Here is a 23,977-nt window from a genome sequence, read left to right on the forward strand (position 1 = left end):
AGCATTTTGGGAGACCAAAGTGGGAAGATCACTTCAGCCCATGAGTTGGAGACCAGTTGGGCAACACAGGGAGACTCCATCTCCACAAAAAATTAAAAAAAAAAAAAAAAATAGCTGGGCTTCACTTTGGGAGGCCGAGGCAGGCAGATCACCTGATGTCAGGAGTTCGAGACCAGCCTGACCAACATGGAGAAACCCCTCCTCTACTAAAAATACCAAAACTACAAAATTAGCCAGGTGTGGCGGCGGATGCCTGTAATCCCAGCTACTGAGGCTGAGGTAGGAGAATCGCTTGAACCCGGGAGGCAGAGGTTGCAGTGAGACGAAATTGCACCATTACACTCCAGCCTGGGCAACAAGAGCAAAACACAAAATAGCTGGGTTTGGTGGCATGAGTCCATAGTCCCAGCTACTGGGGAGGCTGAGGCAGGAGGGCTGCTTGAGCCAGGAGGAGTCTGAGGCTGCAGTGTGCTATGATCACACCACTAAACTCCAGTCTGGGTGACAGTGAGACTGTTTCTTTAAAAAAAAAAAAAAAAAAAAAAAAAAAAGGTCCCTGGTGTAACAGGTTACTTTTCAGCACACAGTTTTCTCCATTTGAAGGATGAGCAGGAGTTCATGACCCGCCTGGCCAACTTGGCGCAACCCCGTCTCCACTACAAATAGAAAAATTAGCCAGGCGTGGTGGCAGGCATCTGTAGTCCCAGCTACTCGGGAGGTTAAGGCAGGAGAATCGCTTGAACCTGCGAGGCAGAGGTTGCAGTGGGCTGAGATCCCACCACTGCACTCCAGCCTGGGCGACAGAGCGAGACTGAATGGAGAGAGGGGAGAGGGGAGAGGGGAGGAGAAGAGAAGGAAGGAATAGAACAGGCTAGCAATAAGGCAAATGGAAAAAGCTTTAAGAAGACAGATGGGGAAAGAATTGCTTCTTTGTTCAAGTATGGACTAACATACTCAATCTTTTATCTGATTCCACATCCTTCCCTTGTGCAATCCACGCCCATCAATAATATCTCTCCATAAATACTAAGTCCCTTCTGAGTGATAGGTGAGGCAAGGGAGAGGACAAGCACAGTTCTAAATTATTGATATTAAAAAAAAAAAAACTTGGCCAGGCGCGGTGGCTCACGCCTGTAATCCCAGCACTTTGGGAAGTCAAGGCAGGTGGATCACCTGAGGTCATGAGTTCAAGACCAGCCTGACCAACATGGTGAAATCCTCTTTAGTAAATACAAAAAATTAGCCAGGTGTGGTGGTGCATGCCAGTAATCCCAGTTACTTGGGAGGCTGAGGCAGGAGAATCGCTTGAACTTAGGAGGTGGAGGTTGCAGTGAGCCGAGATTGCACCATTGCACTCCAGCCTAGGCAACAAGAGCAAAAATTCCATCTCAAAAAAAAAAAAACAAAACCAAACCAAAAAAAAAACAAAACAAAAACAAAAAAACTTGGTTGGGCACTGTGGCTCATGCCTGTAATCCCAGCACTTTGGGAAGCCAAGGCCAGCAGTTCAAGACCAGCCTGGGCAACACAGTGAGACCTGGTCTCTACAGAAACAAAAACAATCCCCAAAAAGCAAAAACCAAAAAAAGCAGCCGGGTGTGGAGGCTAACGCCTGTAATCCCAGCACTTTGGGAGACCAAGGTGGGTGGATAACTTGAGGTCAGGAGTTCGAGACCAGCCTGACCAACATGGTGAAACCCCGTCTCCACTAAAATACAAAATTAGCCAGGTGTGGTGGCACGCACCTGTAATCCCAGCTACTCAGGAGGCTGAGGCAGGAGAATCACTTGAACCCAGGAGGCCGAGGTTGCAGTTTGCTGAGACCGTGTCACTGCACTCCAGCCTGGACAACAAGAGCGAAACTCCATCTCAGGGGAGGGGAAAAAAAAAGACAGAATAAAGCAATTGCGTCTTCCAAATAACTTTACTCCAAGTATCTAAAATGGTGTGCTGCTAGTAGCATGGTTTTAGCAACCTGTTCCAAAAACTCTATATTATATTCCTATATAAAGTGTTCGGGTATCTACCAGTCACAAGATTATCCATCCTCATGATGGCAGCAAAATACAAATGGATATCTAAAAACTAACAACAGCTACACTTTGAAAGGGATCAAGAATTTTCCCCCGTCTGTACAGTATCTGCATAGTAGATAAAACACTTTCCAAACTGGAAAGATCTTGGTAAACTGCTAAAGAACACTTACCTCCGTTCCAATTCCAGGTTGCACGCCAGAGTACACACTGTCTGGTGGAGGACCACCATACTTCCTCTGTCCTGTGGTTACATCCAGAGTATAACCAGTTCTCTCAAGCAAGGCCTAGAGATAATTATACATCTCTTTATACTTGAGTACTAAATCTCACACACAAGCATCAGTGTATTAATCTTTTCCAAAAAGGACTCCAACTTCCTAGGAGATATATTTTTATGGTTAGGTAAAAAAAAAAGTCAAAATTCGCACTGGTTCCCCATACATGTTTCTACTGGTGAGTCTTTTCAAATAAAATGTTCTCTATCCTTAAAAAAATTAGCACAAGTCTTACCTCCTTCATGCAGCTTCTCTCATTTACTATTACTCACATCCATTTCTCCCTACTGTCTTTTCTTCTTTTTTTTTGAGATGGAGTCTTGCTCTGTTGCCCAGGCTGGAGTGCAGTGGCATCGTCTCGGCTCACTGCAACCTCTGCCTCCCGGGTCTAAGAGATTCTCTTGTCTCAGCCTCCCAAGTAGCTGGGATTACAGGCATGTGCCACCACGCCCAGCTAATTTTTGTATTTTTAGTAGAGATGGGGTTTCACCATGTTGGCCAGGCTGGTCAGGAACTCCTGGCCTCATGAGATCCGCCTGTCTTGGCCTCCCAAAGTGCTAGGAGTACAGGTGTGAGCCACTGTGCCCAGCCCCCACTGTCTTTCTAGTGTACTTTTTTTTTTTTTTTTTTTTGAGACGGAGTCTCGCTGTGTCACCCAGGCTGGAGTGCAGTAGCGCGATCTCGGCTCACTGCAAGCTCCGCCTCCCAGGTTCACGCCCTTTTCCTGCCTCAGCCTCCCGAGCAGCTGGGACTACAGGCACCCGCCACAACGCCCGGCTAATTTTTTGTATTTTTAGTAAAGACAGGGTTTCACCGTGTTAGCCAGGATGGTCTCAATCTCCTGATCTCGTGATCCACCCGACTTGGCCTCCCAAAGTGCTGGGATTACAGGAATGAGCCACCATACCCAGCCTCTAGTGTACTTAAAGTTCCATCATTTAAGCTTGATTTTGTTTGATCCTTCTGGTTTGTACTCCTGCCATATCATAAGCTCCACAAGAATCAGGTAATCAGACAAGAATCATACAGTACAGACTAAAAATATTTGGCAATTACCAAATAAGTATAGTCAGGTTCCGAAAAATAAGTAAAATCTTGTGTTTCCTGATTACCAACCTTCCTTACATTCTATTAGGTATTAAGAGCAATCATAGAAAAGAAGATAATCTCCTTGCTCTCAGGAATTTATGTTATAATTGAGGCAACATCTATATAAAGAGCTTAGAGAAGAAAAGATACAATGGTAAACAAAGAAACACAATCTACCTAGAAAAGAGAAATTTACACTTCAGTTTTTTTGGTTTTTTTTTTTTGAGACGGAGTCTCGCTCTGTCGCTCAGGCTGGAGTGCAGTGGCGCGATCTTGGCTCACTGCAAGCTCCGCCTCCCGGGTTCACGCCATTCTCCTGCCTCAGCCTCCCAAGTAGCTGGGACTACAGGCGCCTGCCACCACACCCGGCTAATTTTTTGTATTTTTAGTAGACAGGTGGCCTCACCGTTGTTAGCCAGGATGGTCTCGATCTCCTGACCTCGTGATCCACCCGCCTCAGCCTCCCAAAGTGCTGGGATTACAGGCGTGAGCCACAGAGCCCAGCCAGGTTTTTAAAATTACACAATGTCAGAACAATAAGAGACTTTAGATATCATCAAGTTCAGTGAACACTAGGATTTCACAGGGATGCATGCCTTCGGCCTTCCATTCTTCTACCTTTGACTGAAACAGAGCCATAAATGTAATATAAAACAGGGGTCCCCACACCCCTGGGCCACAGACCCGTACTGGTCCATGGCCTGTTAGGAACCGGGCTGCATAGCAGGAGGTAAATAGCGGGCAAGTGAGAACAAAGCTTCATCTGTATTTACAGCCGCTCCTCATCCTCCCTATCATTGGCATTACTGCCTGAGCTGTGAGCTCCACCTCCTGTCAGATCAGCAGCCGCATTAGGTTCTCACAGGAGGGTGAATCCTATTGTGAAGTGTGCATACAAGGGATCTAGGTTGCATGCTCCTTATGAGAATCTAATGCTTGAAGATCTGTCACCATCTACCAGTATGCCCAGATGGCACCATCTAGTTGCAGGAAAACAAGCTCAGGGATCCCACTGATTCTACATTATGGTGAGTTGTATAATTATTTCATTACATATTACAATGTAATAATAATAGAAATAACTTCAACATACAATAACTATTTCTAATTAAAAAGTCTATCACAGCCGGGCGCGGTGGCTCACGCCTGTAATCCCAGCACTTTGGGAGGCTGAGGCGGGCGGATCACGAGGTCAGGAGATCGAGACCATCCCGGCTAAAATGGTGAAACCCCGTCTCTACTAAAAATACAAAAAATTAGCCGGGCGTAGTGGCGGGCGCCTGTAGTCCCAGCTACTCGGGAGGCTGAGGGAGGAGAATGGCGTGAACCCGGGAGGCGGAGCTTGCAGTGAGCCGAGATCCCGCCACTGCACTCCAGCCTGGGCGACAGAGCGAGACTCCGTCTCAAAAAAAAAAAAAAAAGTCTATCACAGGCCGGATATGGTGGCTCACACCTGTAATCCCAGCACTTTGGGGAGGGTGAGGTAGGCAGATCCCCCAAGGTCAGGAGTTTGAGACCAGCCTGGCTAACACAGTGAAACCCCGACTCTACCAAAAAACAAAAAAAATTAGCAGCCAGGCACGGTGGCTCACGCCTGTAATCCCAGCACTTTGGGAGGCCGAGGCGGGCGGATCATGAGGTCAGGAGATTGAGACCATCCTGGCTAACATAGTGAAACCCTGTCTCTACTAAAAATACAAGAAAAAAAAAATTAGCCGGGCATGGTAGCAGGCACCTGTGGTCCCAGCTGCTCAGGAGGCTGAGGCAGGAGAATGGCGTGAACCCAGGAGGCAGACCTTGCAATGAGCTGAGATCGCGCCACTGCACTCCAGCCTGGGCGACAGAGGGAGACTCCGTCTCAAAAAAAAAAAAAAAAAAAAAAAAAAAAATTAGCTGGATGTGGTGGCGCACGCCTGTAGTCCCAGCTACTCAGGAGGCTGAGGCAGGAGAATCGCTTGAACCCAGGAGACAGAGGTTGAAGTGAGCTGAGATGAGCTGAGATGGCGCTACTGCACTCCAGCACTCCAGCCTGGGCCACAGAGTGAGACTCTGTCTCAAAAAAAAAAAAAAAAAAGAAAAGTATGTCACTACAGCAAGACACGAGTATCCATTTAACTAAGGAATTAGGTTCACTGGTCTTTCATTAAAAGCTGTATATTTACCTTTTCAAAGCTGTTTATCTAAGTAATAAAATGGTAATAATAATAATGGTTCATGGTTATATAGTTCTTGCTACATTCCAGGCATTATTCTAAGTGCTTTATATATGTTAATTCATTTACTCCTTACAATAACTCTGTAAGGTAGTCACTATTACTATCCCCATTTTATAAATAAAGAAACTGAGGTAACTGAATATTCAAAAGGAGGAAAGCAGTTATAACAACTTTTTATCAAGTTATAACCTTTTTATCAAGAGAAAAGAAACAAAGTGGCTGGAAAATAACTGAACCAAGAGACATTACTGGATCAATCCAAGAAACTACCAGCGAAGCATCAATAAATATACGTCATTCATGGCCACAAAAGAGGGAATGAGGAAGAGTATGAATTAGGGCTTTTCATTAAACATGCAATTGAGTGTCGATCCCCAAAATTATCCTTCTTATGTAATTCCTCTAAATTATTTCATTTCTAAACACTAGTTTTGAAAAGTGAAACTTTCAGCTGGGCGTGGTGGCTCACGTCTGTAATCCCAGCACTTTGAAGGCCGAGGTGGGCGGATCACAAGGTCAGGAGATCGAGACCAATCTGGCCAACACAGTGAAACCCTATCTTTCCTAAAAATACAAATAATTAGCTGGGTGTGGTGGTGCATGGCTGTAATCCCAGCTACTTGGGAGGCTGAGGCAGGAGAATGGCATGAACTTGGGAGGTGGAGCTTGCAGTGATCCAAGACTGCGCCGCTACTCCAGCCTGGGCGACAGAGCAAGACTCCGTCTCAAAAAAAAAAAAAGTGAAACTTTCTAGGAAACATGGAAAGAGGCATTTGACCTCATCATTAAATGCAATTTCATTACAACTACCCAAGTCAAGTTTTACCTTGATCTTCGCTTCATCAGGTCCCTTTGTGGACTCTTGCACCTTGCTCCCCTGTTTCTCTCTCTGCCTGTAGGTCTTCATAACTCCACATAAAAATGCACTTTTGTTCTAGAACAGACAAGTAATTCAATAAAAAGAATCACCAAAAATATCTGAAGGGTCAGATACATAATTAAATTTAAATTTCAGAAAACCAGGATTTTAACAAAAGATTTACTGATTCATTCAACAAGTATTTGCCGAGTGGTTACTATGTGCCAGAGATTGGAGCAGACAGCAGTAAGGCAGTATAGACCTCAGGGAGCTTACCTTCTACCCTGGGAAAACACAGTCTTCCACTTGTTGATATGTGACTGTATCTAGACTGTCTTTGCCAGATGTCGGAAACTATTCCTCCCACCTACATTTTCCTCCAAGATAATAAAACAGGATCAAATAACCCCCAAATGTTAAAAAGCTGAGTAACATGTAAAAACCTATAGTAACAACCATCAAAACTTGGCTTTAATTTTAAGTTTTTAAAATAACTTACTGCACAAGGGGGTGGGAGAAAACTTTTGCTTTATACTTGGGCTTCTGAAACTCTGCCACAAGCAGTTTTTTTCCTTTAAACTAATTTTTTAAAAGAAGAGGTAGTCACAAACAAAAAATACCACTTCTCCATAGGAAAAAAAGTAATAGTAAAATAATTTCAGATTACTAATTGTTCAAAGACATTTCTGAGTAACGACCTTACCTGAACATGTGATAAGTCACTTTCCTTGAACTGCTGTAGTACAGACAGAGCTCCTTCTTCATTAAATTCCCTGAGAGCATCAATTGCTCTTTCATCAAGATCGACATAAGCTACCAATCCTAAAAATTAAATTGAAAGGGGTAACGTTATTGCAACAAAAGGGGTAATCTAAGCTCTACTGACGTTTAATCAAGAATTGTTACATTCAATATGATCACTAACAAACTGTATTTTCATTTAACTATATGCATATACGCAGCTATCCAAATACTACATAGAAAGGTCCAGGACAAATATGAAAATAAAGATAAAATGTCAACAACCAAAAACATGAATTTCAATCTCCATATCCACAAACCTCCCCCGCCAAATCCTAACATCCATTTCCCACTCCCCCAAAGGTATAAGTCTTGAAAGTTAAATCTGATGTACATACTGTATTACAGATTATGCATTAATACAACAAATTTTGGTTTATATTAGAGTGATAAGAATACATTGCGTTTTCCAAGGATAAACCTTCAAATTACAGACGGTTACAGTTGATGCTAACCACCTAAGAGGTGGAGGAAAATCTGAAAACAAATTTTACTAAGTAATTCTTTCCACTCTCCAAAAAGTGTCAAAAGGCTTTCCCTCCTGAACACCAAAGATAAACTGAAATGCATTTGTTTATCTGAGCATCCACTTTGCTGCAGTCAGAATGTGGAAAGGCATAATTTTAAACTTCTACAAATGCAAGTGCAGCTTGATTAATCAATTCTGAAAGTCATACTTTAAGGCATTCTTTGTTCTTCTGAAGTGACAAGCTGAGATTTAAAAGATGCTGTGGCATTCACATTGACTGTCAAGAACGACAATCATTTTCAAATGGCAATAAAGACTTTATGGTCTTACAAGTAAACTTGACAGAAAATATATACACTGCATTTCATATATGTAAGTATATTCAACTGCACACAGAACATCTACTAAGTTTAAAATATAATTTCTTAAGTCTGTTAAGTTTGTGTCATATTTACATATGGAATATATTTCAGAATTGATCCAACGTAAAATGCAAGTATTTCGTAGATTAAAACCCCCAAGTTCATATGAACATGAAAAGTGACTCCATTTTGATAAAGCTAAAAAGAACTTTATTCCATATAGTAAATTTTAAATAAATGTAATGCCACTTCCAAAGTTACTTTTTAAAAAAGTTGCCATGATTTGTTTCAAAAGCTCGAAATGAGCATGTGTAAATAACTGGAGCTGCCTCACTTGAATATTCCATACCACCACCCGAAGCCACAACTCAGGACACCCATCAATCCATTTTGTCAAACCAAGTCTACGCCCAAACCATCAGCCTCTTATCAATAACAAAACACTCTACAAGAGAGCATCTCTAAGCAGATCACTGCCAATTCTCTATGGCAGAATGTCACAGAAAGTTCCTGAGGACTGATTTTCAAATGCGACCATGACCCAGGAGTCATTTTTATAAGTCATTTTAATGTCTAAAATTATGCTAAGCTTCCCAGATTTAAAAATTTTTTAAGGACAAAAAAAAAAAAACAGCTATTTGCTACTACTGTACTTAAGACACATTTGTGAGTGAGACAATTCAATTCTCTCTCAGAATCTGAATAGGCACACACAACACAGAGGAAGAAAGTTTCCATCTATGTCCCCAAAGGAGGAGGACACATTCATTTATGAACAACGCTCCCTAAGGGTAAATATTTCTCTCCCTCTTTAAAACTTCAAACCACTTACAACCAACTATATTAAGATGTTCAAATTTGCTTAAGCACTTAACCATGGCACTTCTGGATTAAAAAAAAAAAAAAGAAGCAGCTGTTACAACCAAACACTTCCAAATTACGGAGAGATGTGGATTTCTATTAGAAACTAGACAAGCCACAAACTCTCAAGGAGTCTGACATTTATTATGGTTTCAGACGATACAGCTATCCTCTTGTTATGCCACCTAATCAGACCTAAGCTGATTTAACAATCACTTTAAGAAGGTAAAAGTAGAAAAGCAAAAGCAAAATGATGACTGATTTTGATTAAGAAAAAAATGTAAAATTTGGTATGCAGAAACATACATTTTTATGGGTGGTAAATCTAAGACAAATCGATGTGCTGTTCTGAAACAACTAAGACTGCATATTCAACACTAAGAAGGCTTCAAAATAATGAAATAAGAGTATCAAAGTCAAACCCAATATGCCTTCAATGAAGGGAAAGTAACAAACATTCAGCTCTACAGATCAGAAACAATAAGTATTATTTAACCTTAAAAAACTATAAAATTCAAAGTGGTTTGCCCTCACTTTCATAACCAGTCAGAAACAAGAAATGCATATTATACCTGTCTGAAATATTTCATCAAGTCTTTCTGCCACCTTCTGTGGGAGGCCTGCCTCTATCAGTGTCTTGTAGTGTTCTGTGTGAGTTACACTGGAAGTATCCATTGGTTCTTCCTCTTCTTTTAACTGTACCGCATTACCATTCACCTGATTAGCCATTTTATTATGCTGCTGGAAAAAATTCAGGAGCTATATTACATTAAGCCAGAAATAACTAGTTTGTAGGACAATGCATGATTTATCTAAACTAATTTGTATACATGCTGCTAATAACCTCTATCAAAATAATAATTTATTCCTCCTGTGATGTATCTGACCTAAATTGGCAATAATAATCCTGTAAAACCATAGAAAATGTACATGGAAGCATTAGATCTTTAAGGAACTTCATGTACACCGGGTAAGATAAAGGCTTTAATTTACTGAAGGTAGAATTGCTGATTAACAAAAGCAGCTGTTCTGTCCTGGTGAAAAGATCAAAATCACTACAAAATCCTTTACTAAAAAGCCCCTCAGCTCTCGGGTCTTACACAGTTTTAAAAAGTTTTGTTTTAAAAACAGAATGAACACCCACAGACCACTTAATCAAGATTTAAGGACTTTCAAATTTTCCTGGCTCTGCTTCAAATACAGTATCGGTGTGAAATAAGTGCCCTGTTTTCTCTAGTTCAACATGCTGGTGGTTTGGGTTTTCTCCACCTAACAATACAAAACGAAAACAAAAAAAAACCAACTTGACATTAATTTTTGTTCTAAGATTAATTCGCTATTCCCACAGATTTAAAAGAAAAAATGACCAAGTTTAAAAGCGAAACAATTGTTTTCAGTCCAAATAAAATACTAAGTGAGCTATAGTTTAGGTTGCTTCTTAAAAAAAAAGAGTACATGTTGAAATTTTCATATCAGTAAAATAAAGATGTAAAAACATACTGAAGAATGGACAACTTCTTCCAAATATTTCAAAAACCGTTACCTAATTAGGCTAAACTTCAGCCAGATTTCTCAGATTAACCTATCAAAAATAATTTTGTACATTCAGCCTGTAGGTAATGCTGAAATGGACTGACTCCCTGAAGAGAGAGAGTAAACAATAAACCATACAAGGCCAGTCTGTGTACTGCCTCAAAAGACAGGGAATTAAAGTGCATTTGTCTGTGGTGAAATTACAATGTGATGAAGATAATAGGCAGCAGAACAAGACATTGCAACACATACTAAATAAAAGACATAAAGGTGGATCTCAAGAAAAAGCCTACTTTTCTTGATGAAACTCAAGATACCTAGTCATCTATAAAGAAAATACAAGTCTCCTACAAAGTACTAAGACACATAAGATAACCACACTTCCCGACAGCTTATCGAACATTGTGCAAATGCACCAGGTGCAGTTTTCTGGCTTAAAACAACTTCTTTTCATTTCAAAGTCCACTGATACTTAGTTGAAGTTAACGAAAGAGGGAGGAAGACCAAGAGGGGAAGGAGGTAATAGAGAGTAGGAAGAAGAAGAAAATGCAAAGGATTACTCTGAAAATGAGATAAACATGACTCCTCACAATTACAAAACACTATTAAGACTCGATAGCCCTTAATAGACGCAGACTGTGGTTAAATTCTGGGTGGATGTTTCTCAAGACAAGCTTCAAATTCTGATGAACTAGCAAAAACGGAAACATTCGAAATGTCACACTTTTGATCAAGAAACTGTATTGTGTGAGATGAATACGTTTACTGATTAACACGACCTATTTCTATAAAGATGCATCCTAAAACACAAAATCTCCTTGCGAACATAAGGTTCTGTTTTCCCATGCTCCCCCATCCCCACATACTACCTTAAGATCATCAGAACTCAAAAGTTCTCAGTATCACAAGACCCTTACAGCATTGTACCTAGGAATACTATCAGTCACAGAAAAGAGGCAAATTTTTAACAGAAAAGTTCAATGAACATCTGTTAAGGTGGGGTTTTTAAGTATGTGTAAAGCAAAAAGACAAGTTGTGTATTAAGTACAAGACAGAAATATTTATGCCTACCATTTCATTGCAAAGGCTCTACAAGTTGATACTGAAATTGGTTAAAATTTTCAAAAAAAGTTTGTAAATTTTAACAAAAAAACCGTAAAATAATTAGATTCCAGAAAATAAAACCTTCGGATCAAGGAAAGCCCTCTCTCTTCAAGCCAAATACAAAATGCTCATTTTGAAAAGACTTTTTATGTCATATGAGACCATTTGAAACTCATTCAAATGTGGCATTCAACACAATGCCACACAGCCAAACCATATTTCTGGATGCAGCAAATATACTAACGTGACTGGAGTCATTTGATCTAAACATTTTTGCAAAAAAAAAGGAGACATTTAAAGATTTAAAAGGGCTGCTGGGAGATTCGGGATGTCAGCACTAACTCCTCCCTGACTTTTTCTGAACCTCTCTGTGCAAATTCTTCATATTAAGAGACGGGCTTTAAAAGAACCAACGAAATGAGACTAACGGTTATCTCATGGCTTAGGAGTGTCGAGCTCTCATCCTACGACTGACTCATGAGACATCAATTCAGCCACTTGAGGACTGCAAAAATCTCAAACAGGTAGTGTGAAAGGACTGAACCTTCCAAGAAGCCCTGGGCTTTTTTAAAAATTTGGCAATACGGCCACTACCGTGTAAGAAAAAGGATCGCCTTTCCAATTTGGTGCGCCTCTGACAGTCTCAGAATTATCCATTTCAGGCGCCGCTTGGAGCCTAAGTTCTACGGCCTCTAGTAGTCATTTTTTCCTTCAAATCTCAGCCCGCGGCATGCAGAATGTGGGAGGGGAGGGAGGCTTCCCACACAAATCGGCCTTTCGGTTTCTGCTCACACAAAACTTTTCTCCCGGCTCAGATAACCCTGGGATCTGCACCCCGCCTTCCGCCCCCCACCCCCATCCCCTCAGGCCCGTCCGGATCATCAGCACATCCCTCTCGGGCTAGGCCGGCCGCGGCGGGAGCGAAGCGGCTCCGGCGGGGAGAAGCGGCAGGGCCGCGGGCGCCTCAGGCCCTTCGCGGGATCCGGCCGCATGGAGCAGCGAGCGGAGGCGGGAAAAGCACGGCCGGCCCCAGCAGGCCGCGCGGAGAGCGCCCAGCGGGCCGGACCGCGGGCTAAAGGGGCGGGGGGAGGAAGAGCGAGGGCGAGAAGCGTTTCGGCCGGGCTAGGCCCACAGCCGCGCGGGCGGACTAGACCGAAGCCGCCCCCAGCCCGTCCCCACCCCCACCCCGGGGCCTCGGAGCGCAAACGAAACGGGACCAGGCACGGAGCCCGGGCTGAGTCGGGTCGCATCGGGGCTCCCGGCCCCTCCCCCCACGGGCCGGCGCGAGACTCACCAGGGCAGAGCGGGGGCCGGCAGCCGGGCCCGTGAGAATCAGCGCGAGGCGCTTTGAAAACGACTAGAAATGGCGCGCGCGCCACCCCCTCCCCCCCCTGATGGACTGAGACGCGATCCCGGCAGCACGCGGGGTTTCCCGGAACTGCTTCCAGGGACTCCGAGCTACGGGGCAATCGCTTGGCGAGGCGGCCTGACAGGCAGCTCAGACGACCAGTAGTATCCAGGCAAAACGGACCACGCCGGACGACTCGAGAGCCAATCGATGAAGCTGCCGGCTGAACCAATGAGGGTGCTCAGCGCCCCTGGCTGGGGCGCCTCCGGGGCGGGGGCAGGCACACAAAGGGGTCTGTGGTGGAAGCCCTTGGTGGCTGCAAGGCTTGGGGGCGCTGGGTCCTGGGTGGACGAAGCTCCTCCCTCTTCGTCTGCCGCCGATGCGAGGCCGAAAATCTAGGCCTCGCGCCGCGTGGCCGCCTCCGGAGCCCCGCCCCCTATGGTCAGCACTGGCCCAGCTCCGCCATGGCGCTTGCGTCCCGCCACCGGCCGCCCTTAGCCCCCGAGTCCTCCCTCGCACCCCCGCGGCCGGCGTTCCCCCCAGACACGCCCATAGCCACGCGTTCGGGCCTCTTTCGGTCATCTTTTCGCCTCTAGTGAGCACACGATTTAAGGATGATTTGGCTCGTCATTTTGCTGAGGATTTTGTCTAGATAATCATTCCTTGGAACGATCGGAGAAATGCCTCTTTCCCTCCCTGGCTGCCGTCCACACATCGTTGGTGGCAGACTGTGAGGGAAATCGTTAAAATGACTCAAAAGCAATGTGTAACACAAGTGATAGAGCAGGGAGCTTTTCCCCACAGGGTTTGGAGCTACTTGATATTCATAAAATAAAGCAGCTATATACATCTCTGAAGCCAAAAGAGCCATGCAGGGGAAAGGGGTAATTCCCAAAGGACACTATAATTCGTGTTAGTCCTAAACCTATTTCTCACCTGCCATTCCTACTGATTTGTTCCCTGTCCTTAGTCCAAACCTGTCTCGTCTCATAGAAACCTTCCGAACTCACTTCTGTGGTGCAAGCGCTTTTTTCCCAACCCCAAACTCCAATGCCCCACCCTTAGGAAGTGGAGGAAGTCAAGCAGTGGTCTGCAGATTTCCAGATGCACTCAAGGATGATTAAATTTCTCAGAACCTACAAACCTATATTTAATTATTGAAAACGGGCGGGGCGTGGTAGCTCATGCCTGTAATCCCAGCACTTTGGGAGGCCGAGGCGGGTGTATCGGTCAGAAGTTCGAGACCAGCCTGATCAACATGGTGAAACCCTGCCTCTACTAAAAATACAAAAATTAGCCCGGTGTGGTGGCACGTGCCTGTAAACCCACCTACTCCGGAGGCTGAGGCAGAAAAATCGCTTGAACCCGGGAGGCGGAGGTTGCAGTGAGCCAATATCGCACCACTGCACTCCACCCTAGGGAACAACAGCGAAACTCCGTCTTAAAAAAAAAAAAAAAGAAAAAGAAATATTGAAAACGACTACTATGTGCCCAGTACCAAGTTAAATCTCTGGGTAGATCCAAGTTTTGTGTTATGGGGTGTGAGATTTACAGAAATGCTGGGAGTCTTAGGCCGGGCGCGGTGGCTCACGCCTGTAATTCCAGCACTTAGGGAGGCCGAAGTGGACGATCACTTGAGCACAGGAGTTCGAGACCAGCCTGGCCAACATAGTGAAACCCCGTCTCTACTAAAAATACACAAATTAGCCGAGCGTGGTGGCGCGTGCATGTAATTCCAGCTACTTGAGAGGCTGAGGCAGGAGTATCGCTTGAACCCGGGAGGCGGAGGTTGCAGTAGCCGGGATTGCGCCATTGCACTCCAACCTGGGCGACAAGAGTGAAACTCCTTCTAGAAAGAAAGAGAGAAAGACAGAGAGAGAGAAGAAAAGGAAAGAAAAGGAAAAGAAAGGAAGAAGGAAAGAAAGAAATGTTGGGAGTCTTTAAGAAAAATCATATTAAATGACGAATACAAATTTAGGAACAGAGTCTTGGAAGGGCATTGTAAAAGTGAGGGAGGACCCCGAAGCTTAACTTTTTTTTTTTAATAGAGACACGGGAGGTGCGGAGGGAATCTCGCTATGTTGCCCAGGCCGGTCTTGGCCGGTCTTGAATTCCTGGCCTCAAATGATCCTTCTGCTTCGGCCTCCCAAAGTGCTGAGATTACAGGCGCCCAGCCTGAAGCTTAAATTTTACTAGCTTCACATAAATCTGCCTCTAGCGCCATAATTCTTAACCTATTTTGTGCCATTTGGAAGTCTGGTAAAAGCTATGAATCTCTTCTCAGTTTTTAAATGCATGAAACAAAATACAGAGCAATACGAAAGAAACCATTTATATTGAAATACAATTAGGAAATATATTTTAAAACACATTCGTGATATAGTAAGGTTTTACTTTTTTATTTTTTATTTATTTTATTTTTATTTTTTTTTTTTTGAGATGGAGTCTCGCTCTGTCGCCCAGGCTGGAGTGCAGTGGCGCGAACTCGGCTCACTGCAAGCTCCGCCTCCCGGGTTCATGCCATTCTCCCGCCTCAGCCTCTCGAGTAGCTGGGACTATATAGCCTGCCATCATGCCCAGCTAATTTTTTTTTTTTTTTTTTTTTAGTTGAGACGGGGTTTTCACCGTGTTAGCCAGGATGGTCTTGATCTCCTGACCTCATGATCCGCCCGCCTCGGCCTCCCAAAGTGCTGGGATTACAGGCATGAGCCACCGCGCCCAGCTTATTTTTTTATTTTTTTTTGAGACAGAGTCTCGCTGTGTCGCCCAGGCTGGAGTGCAGTGGCGCAATCTCGGCTCACTGCAAGCTCCGCCTCCCGGGTTCACGCCATTCTTCTGCCTCAGCCTCCCGAGTAGCTGGGACTACAGGCGCCAGCCACCACGCCCAGCTAATTTTTTGTATTTTTAGTAGAGACGGGGTTTAACCGTGTTAGCCAGGATGGTCTCGATCTCCTGACCTCGTGATTCGTCCGCCTCAGCCTCCCAAAGTGCTGGGATTACAGGCGTGAGCCACCGCACCCAGCCCAGCTTTTACTTTTTAATTTTTTTTTTTTTTTTTAAACATGTGCTCACTTTATCACCCAGGCTGGAGTGCAATGGTGCAATCTGGGCTCACGGCAACCTCTGCCTCCAGGGCTCAAGCGATCCTCTGACCTCAGCTTCCCCAGTGGCTTGTAGGAACTACAAGCGCTGGCCACCGCTCTGGGCTAATTGTTGTTTTTGTTTTTTTGTGTTTTTTTTTTTTTTCTTTTTTTCAGAGACGGGGTTTCACCATGTTACCCAGGCAGGAACTTTTTCTTTATTAACACAATAACTATTAAGATCTTAGAGCAGATCTAATAACTACAGAAATTGTAGAGTGATATTTCAAGAAATCCATGAGTAGTAAAGTGATATGAAAATGATTTCTATTGGTGACAGAGGGAAAGCTGTTACTAATTCTACTGTGATATGTTGTCTACATTCACAATGGGGAAAAATGCTAAATTTCAGTTAGATGTTAGAGAAAACAAAGATGTAATTTTTTTCCCCATCCAAGTTTAAGTACTCCTTACTTGCATTCAGAGACTCCTTCAAGTCCATTGATGAGAACCCGTGGGTCAGATATGTAATTTTTTTTTTTTTGAGACAGTCTCACTCTGTGGCCCATACTGGAGTGCAGTGGTGCAATCTCAGCTCAATGCAACTTCCACCTCCCGGATTCAAGCGATTCTCCTGCCTCAGCCTCCCAAGTAGCTGGGATTACAGATGCCTGCCATGCATGACATCTGGCTAATTTTTGTATTTTTAGTAGAGGCAGGGTTTCACCATGTTGTCCAGGCTGGTCTCAAACTCCTGACCTCAAATGATCCGCCCACCTCGGCCTCCCAAAGTGTTGGGATTACAGGTGTGAGCCACCGCACCTGGCCTAGATATGTAATTTAAAACGATTCTATCACCCAGTATTTTCTGGGATAATATTTCAAATGTTCTGCTATGTAGTCATCAAAGGTATACTCCACATTTCAGACCATATGTCTTGATTTTTTTACTTGGAAAGAAAATTATTGTATAGATACAGATATTCATGAATTCAATATTCCACAAATATGTATTGCATGCCTCTATATAAAAATCATGGAGTTGGCCAGCATGGTGGCTCATGCCTGTGGTCCCAACACTTTGGGAGGCCAAGGCAGGCAGATCACCTGAGGTCGGAAGTTCAAGACCAGCCTGACCAACATGGAGAAACCCGGTCTCTACTACAAATACAAAAATTAGCTGGGCATGGTGGCGCATGCCTGTAATCCCAGCTACTCAGGAGGCTGAGGCAGGAGAATCACTTGAACCCGGGAGTCAGAGGTTGTGGTGAGCTGAGATCGCGCCATTGCACTCCAGCCTGGGCAACAAGAGTGAAACTCCAACTCAAAAAAAAAAAAGAAAGAAAGAAAAATCATGGAGTTAAGAGTAGAGAAAGCCAGGCACAGTGGCTCATGCCTGTAATTCCAGCACTTTGGGAGGCCGAGGCAGGTGGATCATGTGGTCAAGAGATCTAGACAATTCTAGCCAGTATGGTGAAACCCCATCTCTACTGAAAATACAAAAATTAGCTGGGCATGGTGGCGCACGTCTGTAGTCCCAGCTACTTAGGAGGCTGAGGCAGTAGAATCGCTTGAACCCAGGAGGCAGAGGTTGCAGTGAGCCAAGATCACGCCACTGCATTCCAGCCTGGCGACAGAGCAAGACTCCATCTCAAAAAAAAAAAAAAAAAAAAGCCAGGCACGGTGGCTCATGCCTGTAATCCCACCACTTTGGGAGGCTGAGGCGGGAGGATTGTTTGTGTTCAGGTGTTCAAGACCAGCCCAGGCAACATGCTGAAACCCCGTCTCAACAAAAGTTGCAAAAATTAGCCGGCTGTGGTGGCACATGCCTGTAGTACCAGCTACCCAGGAGGCTGAGGTAGGAGGATCACTTGAGACTGGGAGGTGGAGGTTGCAGTGAGCAAGTGAATGCACCACTGCACTCCAGCCTGGGCAACAGAATGAGATCCTGTCTTAAAAATAAATAAATAAATAAATAAATAAATAAACAAACAAACAAATAACCTAGGGAATATAAAATGAATAAAACACAATCCCTGTCCTCCATCCTAGGTGAGAGGTAGGACAAGTATAAACATTTAAAAAAAAATGGGGGCTGGGTGCAGTGGCTCATACCTGTAATCCCAGCACTTTGGGAGGCCGAGGCAGGTAGATTGCCTGAGGTCAGGAGTTTGAGACCAGTCTGGCCAACATGGTGAAACTCTGTCTCTACTAAAAATACAAAAAATACAAAAAAAAAATTAACTGGGTGCGGTGGCATGCACCTGTAATCCCAGCTACTCATGAGGCTGAGGCAGGGGAATTGCTTGAAGCAGGGGGGTAGAGGTTGCAGTGAGCTGAGATCGCGTCACTGCACTCGAGCCTGGGCAACAGAGTGAGGCTCCATCTCAAGAAAAAAAAAATGGGTTGCTAAGGGAAGCTCCAGCTATACCCATAATTTCTGAAATTAGGTAACATAGTGCAGCCAGGCCCTTCTGCATCTCTTCCCTGTTACAGACCAAACCTGTTGTCTGAGCTGGTATATCAATGAATATACTTTTGCTTCTTATAACAATTATAGGGGCCAGGCATGGTGGCTTATGCCTGTAATCCCAGCACTTTGGGAGGCCGAGGTGGGCAGATGTCCTGAGTTTAGGAGTTTAAGACCAGCGTGGGCAACATGGTGAAACCCCATTTCTACAAAAAATACAAAAATTATGGCTCACACCTGTAATCCCAGCACTTTGGGAGGCTGAGTCAGGTGGATCACCTGAAGTCAGGAGTTCGAGACCAGCTTAGCCAACATGGTAAAACCTTGTCTCTACAAAAAATTAGCTGGGCATGGTGGCTCACACCTGTAGTTCCAGACACTCGGGAGGCTGCGGCGCGAGAATCACTTGAACCTGGGAGGTGGAGATTGCAGTGAGCCGAGATTGTGTCACTACACTCCAGCTTGGGCAACAGAGCAAGACTCTACCTAAAACAAAACAAAACAAACAAAAAACGAAGAAACAAAAAAAACTAGAATCATTTTTATTATTTTAAAACACTTTGCAAAATGGTGGAGTTCCAACTAAGATTGATCAGCACTTAAGCTGTTTGTCTTTCATTTATACCTCCTAAGATGATGCTTCTTTTACAAAAATAAAATGCCATGTGGATGACTTGCAAATGGCTTATAGTTAGCTTACCTCAAGATCTTATTGCAGTGCCTGCCTTATCATTATTTTTTTAATAATTTTTTTTTTTTTTTGAGACGGAGTCTTGCTCTGTCACCTACGCTGGAGTGCAGTGGCACAATCTAGGCTCACTACAACCTCCACCTCCCAGGTTCAAGCGATTCTCTTGCCTCAGCCTCCTGAGTAGCTGGGATTACAGGCACCCACCATCATGCCCAGCTAATTTTTGTATTTTTGTAGAGATGGGGTTTCACCATGTTGGCCCGGCTGGTCTTGAACTCCTGACCTCAGGTGATCTGCCCTCCTTGGCCTCCCAAAGTGCTGGGATTACAGGCGTGAGCCACCATGCCCAGCTTTATCATCATTTTTACAGCATTTTTTCTTTTGAAGATTATCCTTGAACTGGTCTATTGAATGCCCTTCTAGTTCTCAAATGTATCAAAGCCATTTTAAAATGAAAAGAAAGTGTATTTCCATTTTAGTGGCACTATTGCTACCATTTTTGAGCTCCTACTGTGTGTCGAGTGTTCCACATATGCTATCGCTGATCCTTATATGGAACCTGCAACCTCAGTAATATTATCCCATTTTTTTGAGGAAATAGGCTTACAGAGATTGAAATGTTCGCTTAAAGGCACACCACACTCCTGAACCAAGACTCAAACACATGTCGTCTGTGTAACTCCAAAGCTACTTTACCGAGCAACTTTTCAATTATTGTCTCAGTGTTGGCAGATTCTTCTCTTGAAGGGACCAGTCAAGTAATCATATAGGTGGCCAGGAGTGGTGGCTCACATCTATAATCCCAGCACTTTGGGAGGCTGAGGCAGGTGGATCGCTTGAGTGCAGGAGTTTGAGACCAGCCTGGGCAACATAGTGAAATGCCATCTCTACAAAAACTACAAAAAATTAGCTGGGTGTGGTGGCACACAACTGTAGCTCTAGCTACCTGGGAGGCTGAGGTGGGAGGATCACCTAGCCTGGGGAGGTCAAGGCTTCAGCAAGTCGCGTTTGCACCACTGCAATTGGCCCTGTCTCAAAAAAAAAAAAAAAATCGTCTGTTTGATCTGATGAATAAGTTAGAAAACACTAGTTAGGGACCAAAGCCAACTGTGATATTATATAATGAGTTCTCACATTTACCTTGTGTGGTTTGCAAATTGGCCTTATAACACAATTTAAACTTGTTCTGAGAAATGAACAGTGCAAGAATAAAATTGTAGCCTCACAAGGTCTCAACTTTGGAAAGCAACACCCGTTTGGGTAGATTTGTTAGAAAAGAACATGTCTTGGCCAGGCGCAGTGGCTCACTGCTGTAATCCCAACACTTCAAGAGGCCTAGGAAGATGGATCTCATGAGGCCAGGAGTTAGAGACCAGCCTGGCCAACATGGTGAGACCCTGTCTCTACTAAAAATGCAAAAATTAGCTGGGAGTGGTGGTGCCTGCCTGTAATCCCACCTGTAATCCAGTGATAGAGCAAAACTCTGTCTCAAAAATAAATAAGCAAATAAAAATAAGTCCTCTTAGGATTGTTAAATCCAATTTAAGAGTGCTGAACACTCAGTCACAACATTCTCTCACTCCACAACAGTGGAATTCCCTGGCAACTCTTCACCAGGACTTTGGTGCACCCACTCACTGACAGTAAACTCTGCAGCCTTTTCCTTTTAAGCCAGGTTCTCACTCTAGTCTGTTGCCCAGACTGGAGTGCAGTGGCACCATCATGGCTCACTGCAGCCTTTACCTCCTGGGCTCAAGTGATCCTCCTGCCTTGGCCTCCCAAAGTGCTAGGATTACAGGCCTGAGCCTTTAAAAAGTCTGCAGGTGGCTGGGCGTGGTGACTCATGCCTGTAATCCCAGCACTTTGGGAGGCTGAGGTGGGAAGATCACTTGAGCCCAGGAGTTCAAGGCTGCAATAAGCCTTGATTGTACCACTGCAGCCTGGATGACAGAGTGAGTCCCTGTTTCAAAAGAAGGGGGGGAGGGGGGAAGGGAGAAAGAGGCAACAGCAACAGCTGCAGCCTAATTCCATCAGTTGAATTCTAGGAGACTTGTACATAACTCCATTGAGTTCTCATTATTATCAGGCTTCCCTATAGACAGACAGAAGAGCCACATGCTGCAAATCTTTGGTGGAGGTGTTGCTGTGAGGTTTTCACTAAAATCTGGTAGAAATCTAAGATAAGTATTATTACTCATATTCAAATATACAAGTTGAATATACAGTTCCACAATTCAGATTCTGCAGGGATTGTGAGTCCTGTTCCCAATATCAGTGTAGTGTCATGGAGTAATTATAGCATTCAGTATAACTTGCATATGTTTTGAAAATTCAATAAAACAATAAGAATTGGTTATAAATAGATTGTGGATATAACTAAATTCTCACTACCCTAAAGTTAAAATATCCATTAGAGGCTGGGTGGCTCACGCCTGTAATCCCAGCACTTTGGGAGGCCAAGGCGGGCGGATCACAAGGTCAGGAGATCCAGACCATCCTGGCTAATACGGTGAAACCCCGTCTCTACTAAAAATACAAAAAATTAGCCGGGCGTTGTGGCGGGCGCCTGTAGTCCCAGCTACTCGGGAGGCTGAGGCAGGAGAATGGCGAGAACCCGGGAGGCAGAGCTTGCAGTGAGCCAAGATCACGCCTCACGCCACTGCACTCCAGCCTGGGCGACAGAGCAACACTCCATCTCAAAAAAAAAAAAAAAAAAAAAAAATCCATTCGAGGAGGGGGCAAGTGCTCTCTAATTATCATTAATGATAACAACACCTTGCACTTAACAGTTTTCCCCTGTAAATGAGTTTCAAGTACTGTATCTCATGAGATATCTCTGCTGCAGTTGAACATCTTAAAATGTGCCATGACCTTGGCTTGTGACTCTCCTCTCCTGGTTCTTCTCCGGACCCTGTAATACGTCCTTGTAGGTCCTCTCCTCTGCCCATCATTATCTGTTGGTGTTCCCAGGACTTCATCCCTGACAACTGTTCTCACATTGTGCCACGGTCATCTCATTCACTTGCATGGTTTCACTACTACTACCATCTCCGTGCAGATACTAGCTATTCCCATCTCTCTTTTTTTTTTCCTTGTATGTATTTATTTTTAATACAGGGTCTTGTCACCCAGGCTGGAGTGCAATAGCACGATCTCTGCTCACTGCAACCTGTCTCCCAGGCTCAAGTGATCCTCTCACCTCAGCCTCTCAAGTAGCTGGGATTACAGGCGTGTGCCACCATGCCCAGCCAATTTTTTCAAAAAAATTTTTTTTGTAGAGATGGGGTTTTACCATGTTGTCTGGGGTGGTTTCAAACTCCTGGGCTCGAGCAACCCACCCTCCTTGGCCTTCCAAAGTGCTGAGATTACCGGTGTGAGCCACTGTGCCCGGCCTATTCCCTATTTTTTTTTTTTTTTTAGCGAAGTTTCGCTCTTGCTGCCCAGGCTGGAGTGCAATGTGCAATGACCTGATCTCGGTTCACTGCAACCTTCGCCTCCCAGGTTCAAGCGATTCTCCTGCCTTAGCCTCCCGAGTAGCTGGGATTACAGGCATGTGCCACCATGCCCAGCTAATTTTGTATTCTTAGTAGAGACGGGGTTTCTTCATGTTGGTCAGACTGGTCTAAACTCCCGACCTCAAGTGATCCGCCTGCCTCGGCCTCCCAAAGTGCTGGGATTACAGGCGTGAGCCACTGCTCCCGGCCTCCCATTTATTTATAGTACCACGTTTGGTCCTGAGCTCTGGATTCATATTTCCAACTGCCTGCTGGGCATATGAATATATGCTTGGATGTAACAGTTTCCTCAAACTAAATGACTATAAGATGATTTTTATCTCCTACCGTGTGATCCCTTCCTCACTGAGCCCCACTCATAGCGACCCCCTGGTGGTGGTTTCTCCAGCATACCAACTGCTGCTTCAGCATCTTCACATTTGCTCTTCAATAAACTGAGTAGTTAGAACACTTACCCCAGATATCCTGATGTCTTAGTCAGAGATATGCTCAAACGCCACCTCTTTAGAGAGGTTTTCCATGACCACTTCCTCTAAAAGCAGTCTCTTTTATTTGTCTTCATTATGCTTGTTACCAGCTAACATTATACATGTCTTTGTTTATTGTCCCTCTCCCCAGAAAATAGAAATTCAACAAGGGCAGAATCTTTGTCTCATTCGGTTTTATACCAGGCACATAAGTTGGTGCTCAATGAATTTTTTTTATTATTTTTTTATTTTTATTTGTATTTATTTTTTTGAGACGGAGTCTCCCTCTGTTGCCCAGGCTGGAGGGCAGTGGTGCAATCTCGGCTCACTGCAGTCTCCACCTCCTGGGTTCAAGTGACCCTCCCACCTCAGCCTCCCGAGTAGCTGGGACTACAGGCATGTGCCACCACGCCCAGCTAATTTTTTTGTAGTTTTAGTAGAGACGGGGTTTCACCATGTTTGTCAGGCTGGTCCCAAACTCTTGACCTCGTGATTTGCCCACCTTGGCCTCCCAAAGTGCTGGGATTACGGGCATGAGCCACTGCGCCCGGCTTTTTTTTTTTTTTTTTTTGAGACGGAGTCTCGCCCTGTCACCCAGGCTGGAGTACAGTGGCCCAATCTTGGCTCACTGCAACCTCCGCCCCCCAGGTTCAAGCGATTCTCCGGCCTCAGCCTCCCGAGTAGCTGGGATTATAGATGCCCACCACCGCACCCAGCTAATTTTTGTATTTTTAGTAGAGATGGGGTTTCACCATGATGGCCAGGCTGGTCTCGAACTCCTGACTTCAGGTGATCCACCTG

At 44.4% G+C, this 23,977-nt stretch overlaps 1 protein-coding gene across 23 annotated transcripts in view, besides 5 other annotated features; it reads right to left on the bottom strand.

Moving 5' to 3' along the window:
- The window catches only part of HNRNPR (heterogeneous nuclear ribonucleoprotein R), a 39,597-nt gene extending 26,624 nt beyond the window's left edge, over positions 1 to 12,973 (bottom strand). For 4 of the 23 annotated variants that reach the window (XM_047424994.1, XM_011540472.4, XM_047424719.1 and 1 more), the window contains exons 1-5: positions 12,200 to 12,973; positions 9,541 to 9,709; positions 7,179 to 7,297; positions 6,443 to 6,550; positions 2,207 to 2,320 (exon numbers count right to left, since the gene is read on the bottom strand). In XM_047424994.1, the coding sequence (XP_047280950.1) occupies positions 2,207 to 2,320; positions 6,443 to 6,550; positions 7,179 to 7,297; positions 9,541 to 9,709; positions 12,200 to 12,262 (573 nt within the window). In that variant the 5' untranslated portion in view covers positions 12,263 to 12,973. The remainder of the gene's footprint in view (positions 1 to 2,206; positions 2,321 to 6,442; positions 6,551 to 7,178; positions 7,298 to 9,540; positions 9,710 to 12,199) is intronic. The other 19 variants (NM_001297621.2, XM_011540477.4, NM_001102397.3 and 16 more) reach the window with 9 other exon arrangements.
- Positions 12,446 to 12,515: a silencer, noted in NCBI's record as "silent region_409". NCBI's record gives its function as "represses an Ori minimal core promoter by ATAC-STARR-seq in GM12878 lymphoblastoid cells {active_cell/tissue: GM12878}" and the evidence as "EXISTENCE:reporter gene assay evidence [ECO:0000049][PMID:35858748]".
- Positions 12,526 to 12,885: a silencer, noted in NCBI's record as "silent region_410". NCBI's record gives its function as "represses an Ori minimal core promoter by ATAC-STARR-seq in GM12878 lymphoblastoid cells {active_cell/tissue: GM12878}" and the evidence as "EXISTENCE:reporter gene assay evidence [ECO:0000049][PMID:35858748]".
- Positions 12,906 to 13,490: an enhancer, noted in NCBI's record as "H3K27ac hESC enhancer chr1:23670710-23671294 (GRCh37/hg19 assembly coordinates)". NCBI's record gives its function as "activates a minimal SCP1, AML or CMV promoter by ChIP-STARR-seq in primed H9 embryonic stem cells {active_cell/tissue: H9 hESC(primed)}" and the evidence as "EXISTENCE:reporter gene assay evidence [ECO:0000049][PMID:30033119]".
- Positions 12,906 to 13,515: a biological region, named in NCBI's record as "H3K27ac hESC enhancer GRCh37_chr1:23670710-23671294".
- Positions 13,396 to 13,515: a silencer, noted in NCBI's record as "silent region_411". NCBI's record gives its function as "represses an Ori minimal core promoter by ATAC-STARR-seq in GM12878 lymphoblastoid cells {active_cell/tissue: GM12878}" and the evidence as "EXISTENCE:reporter gene assay evidence [ECO:0000049][PMID:35858748]".

This window comes from Homo sapiens, chromosome 1 (assembly GCF_000001405.40).
Source record: "Homo sapiens chromosome 1, GRCh38.p14 Primary Assembly".
NCBI lineage: Eukaryota > Metazoa > Chordata > Mammalia > Primates > Hominidae > Homo > Homo sapiens.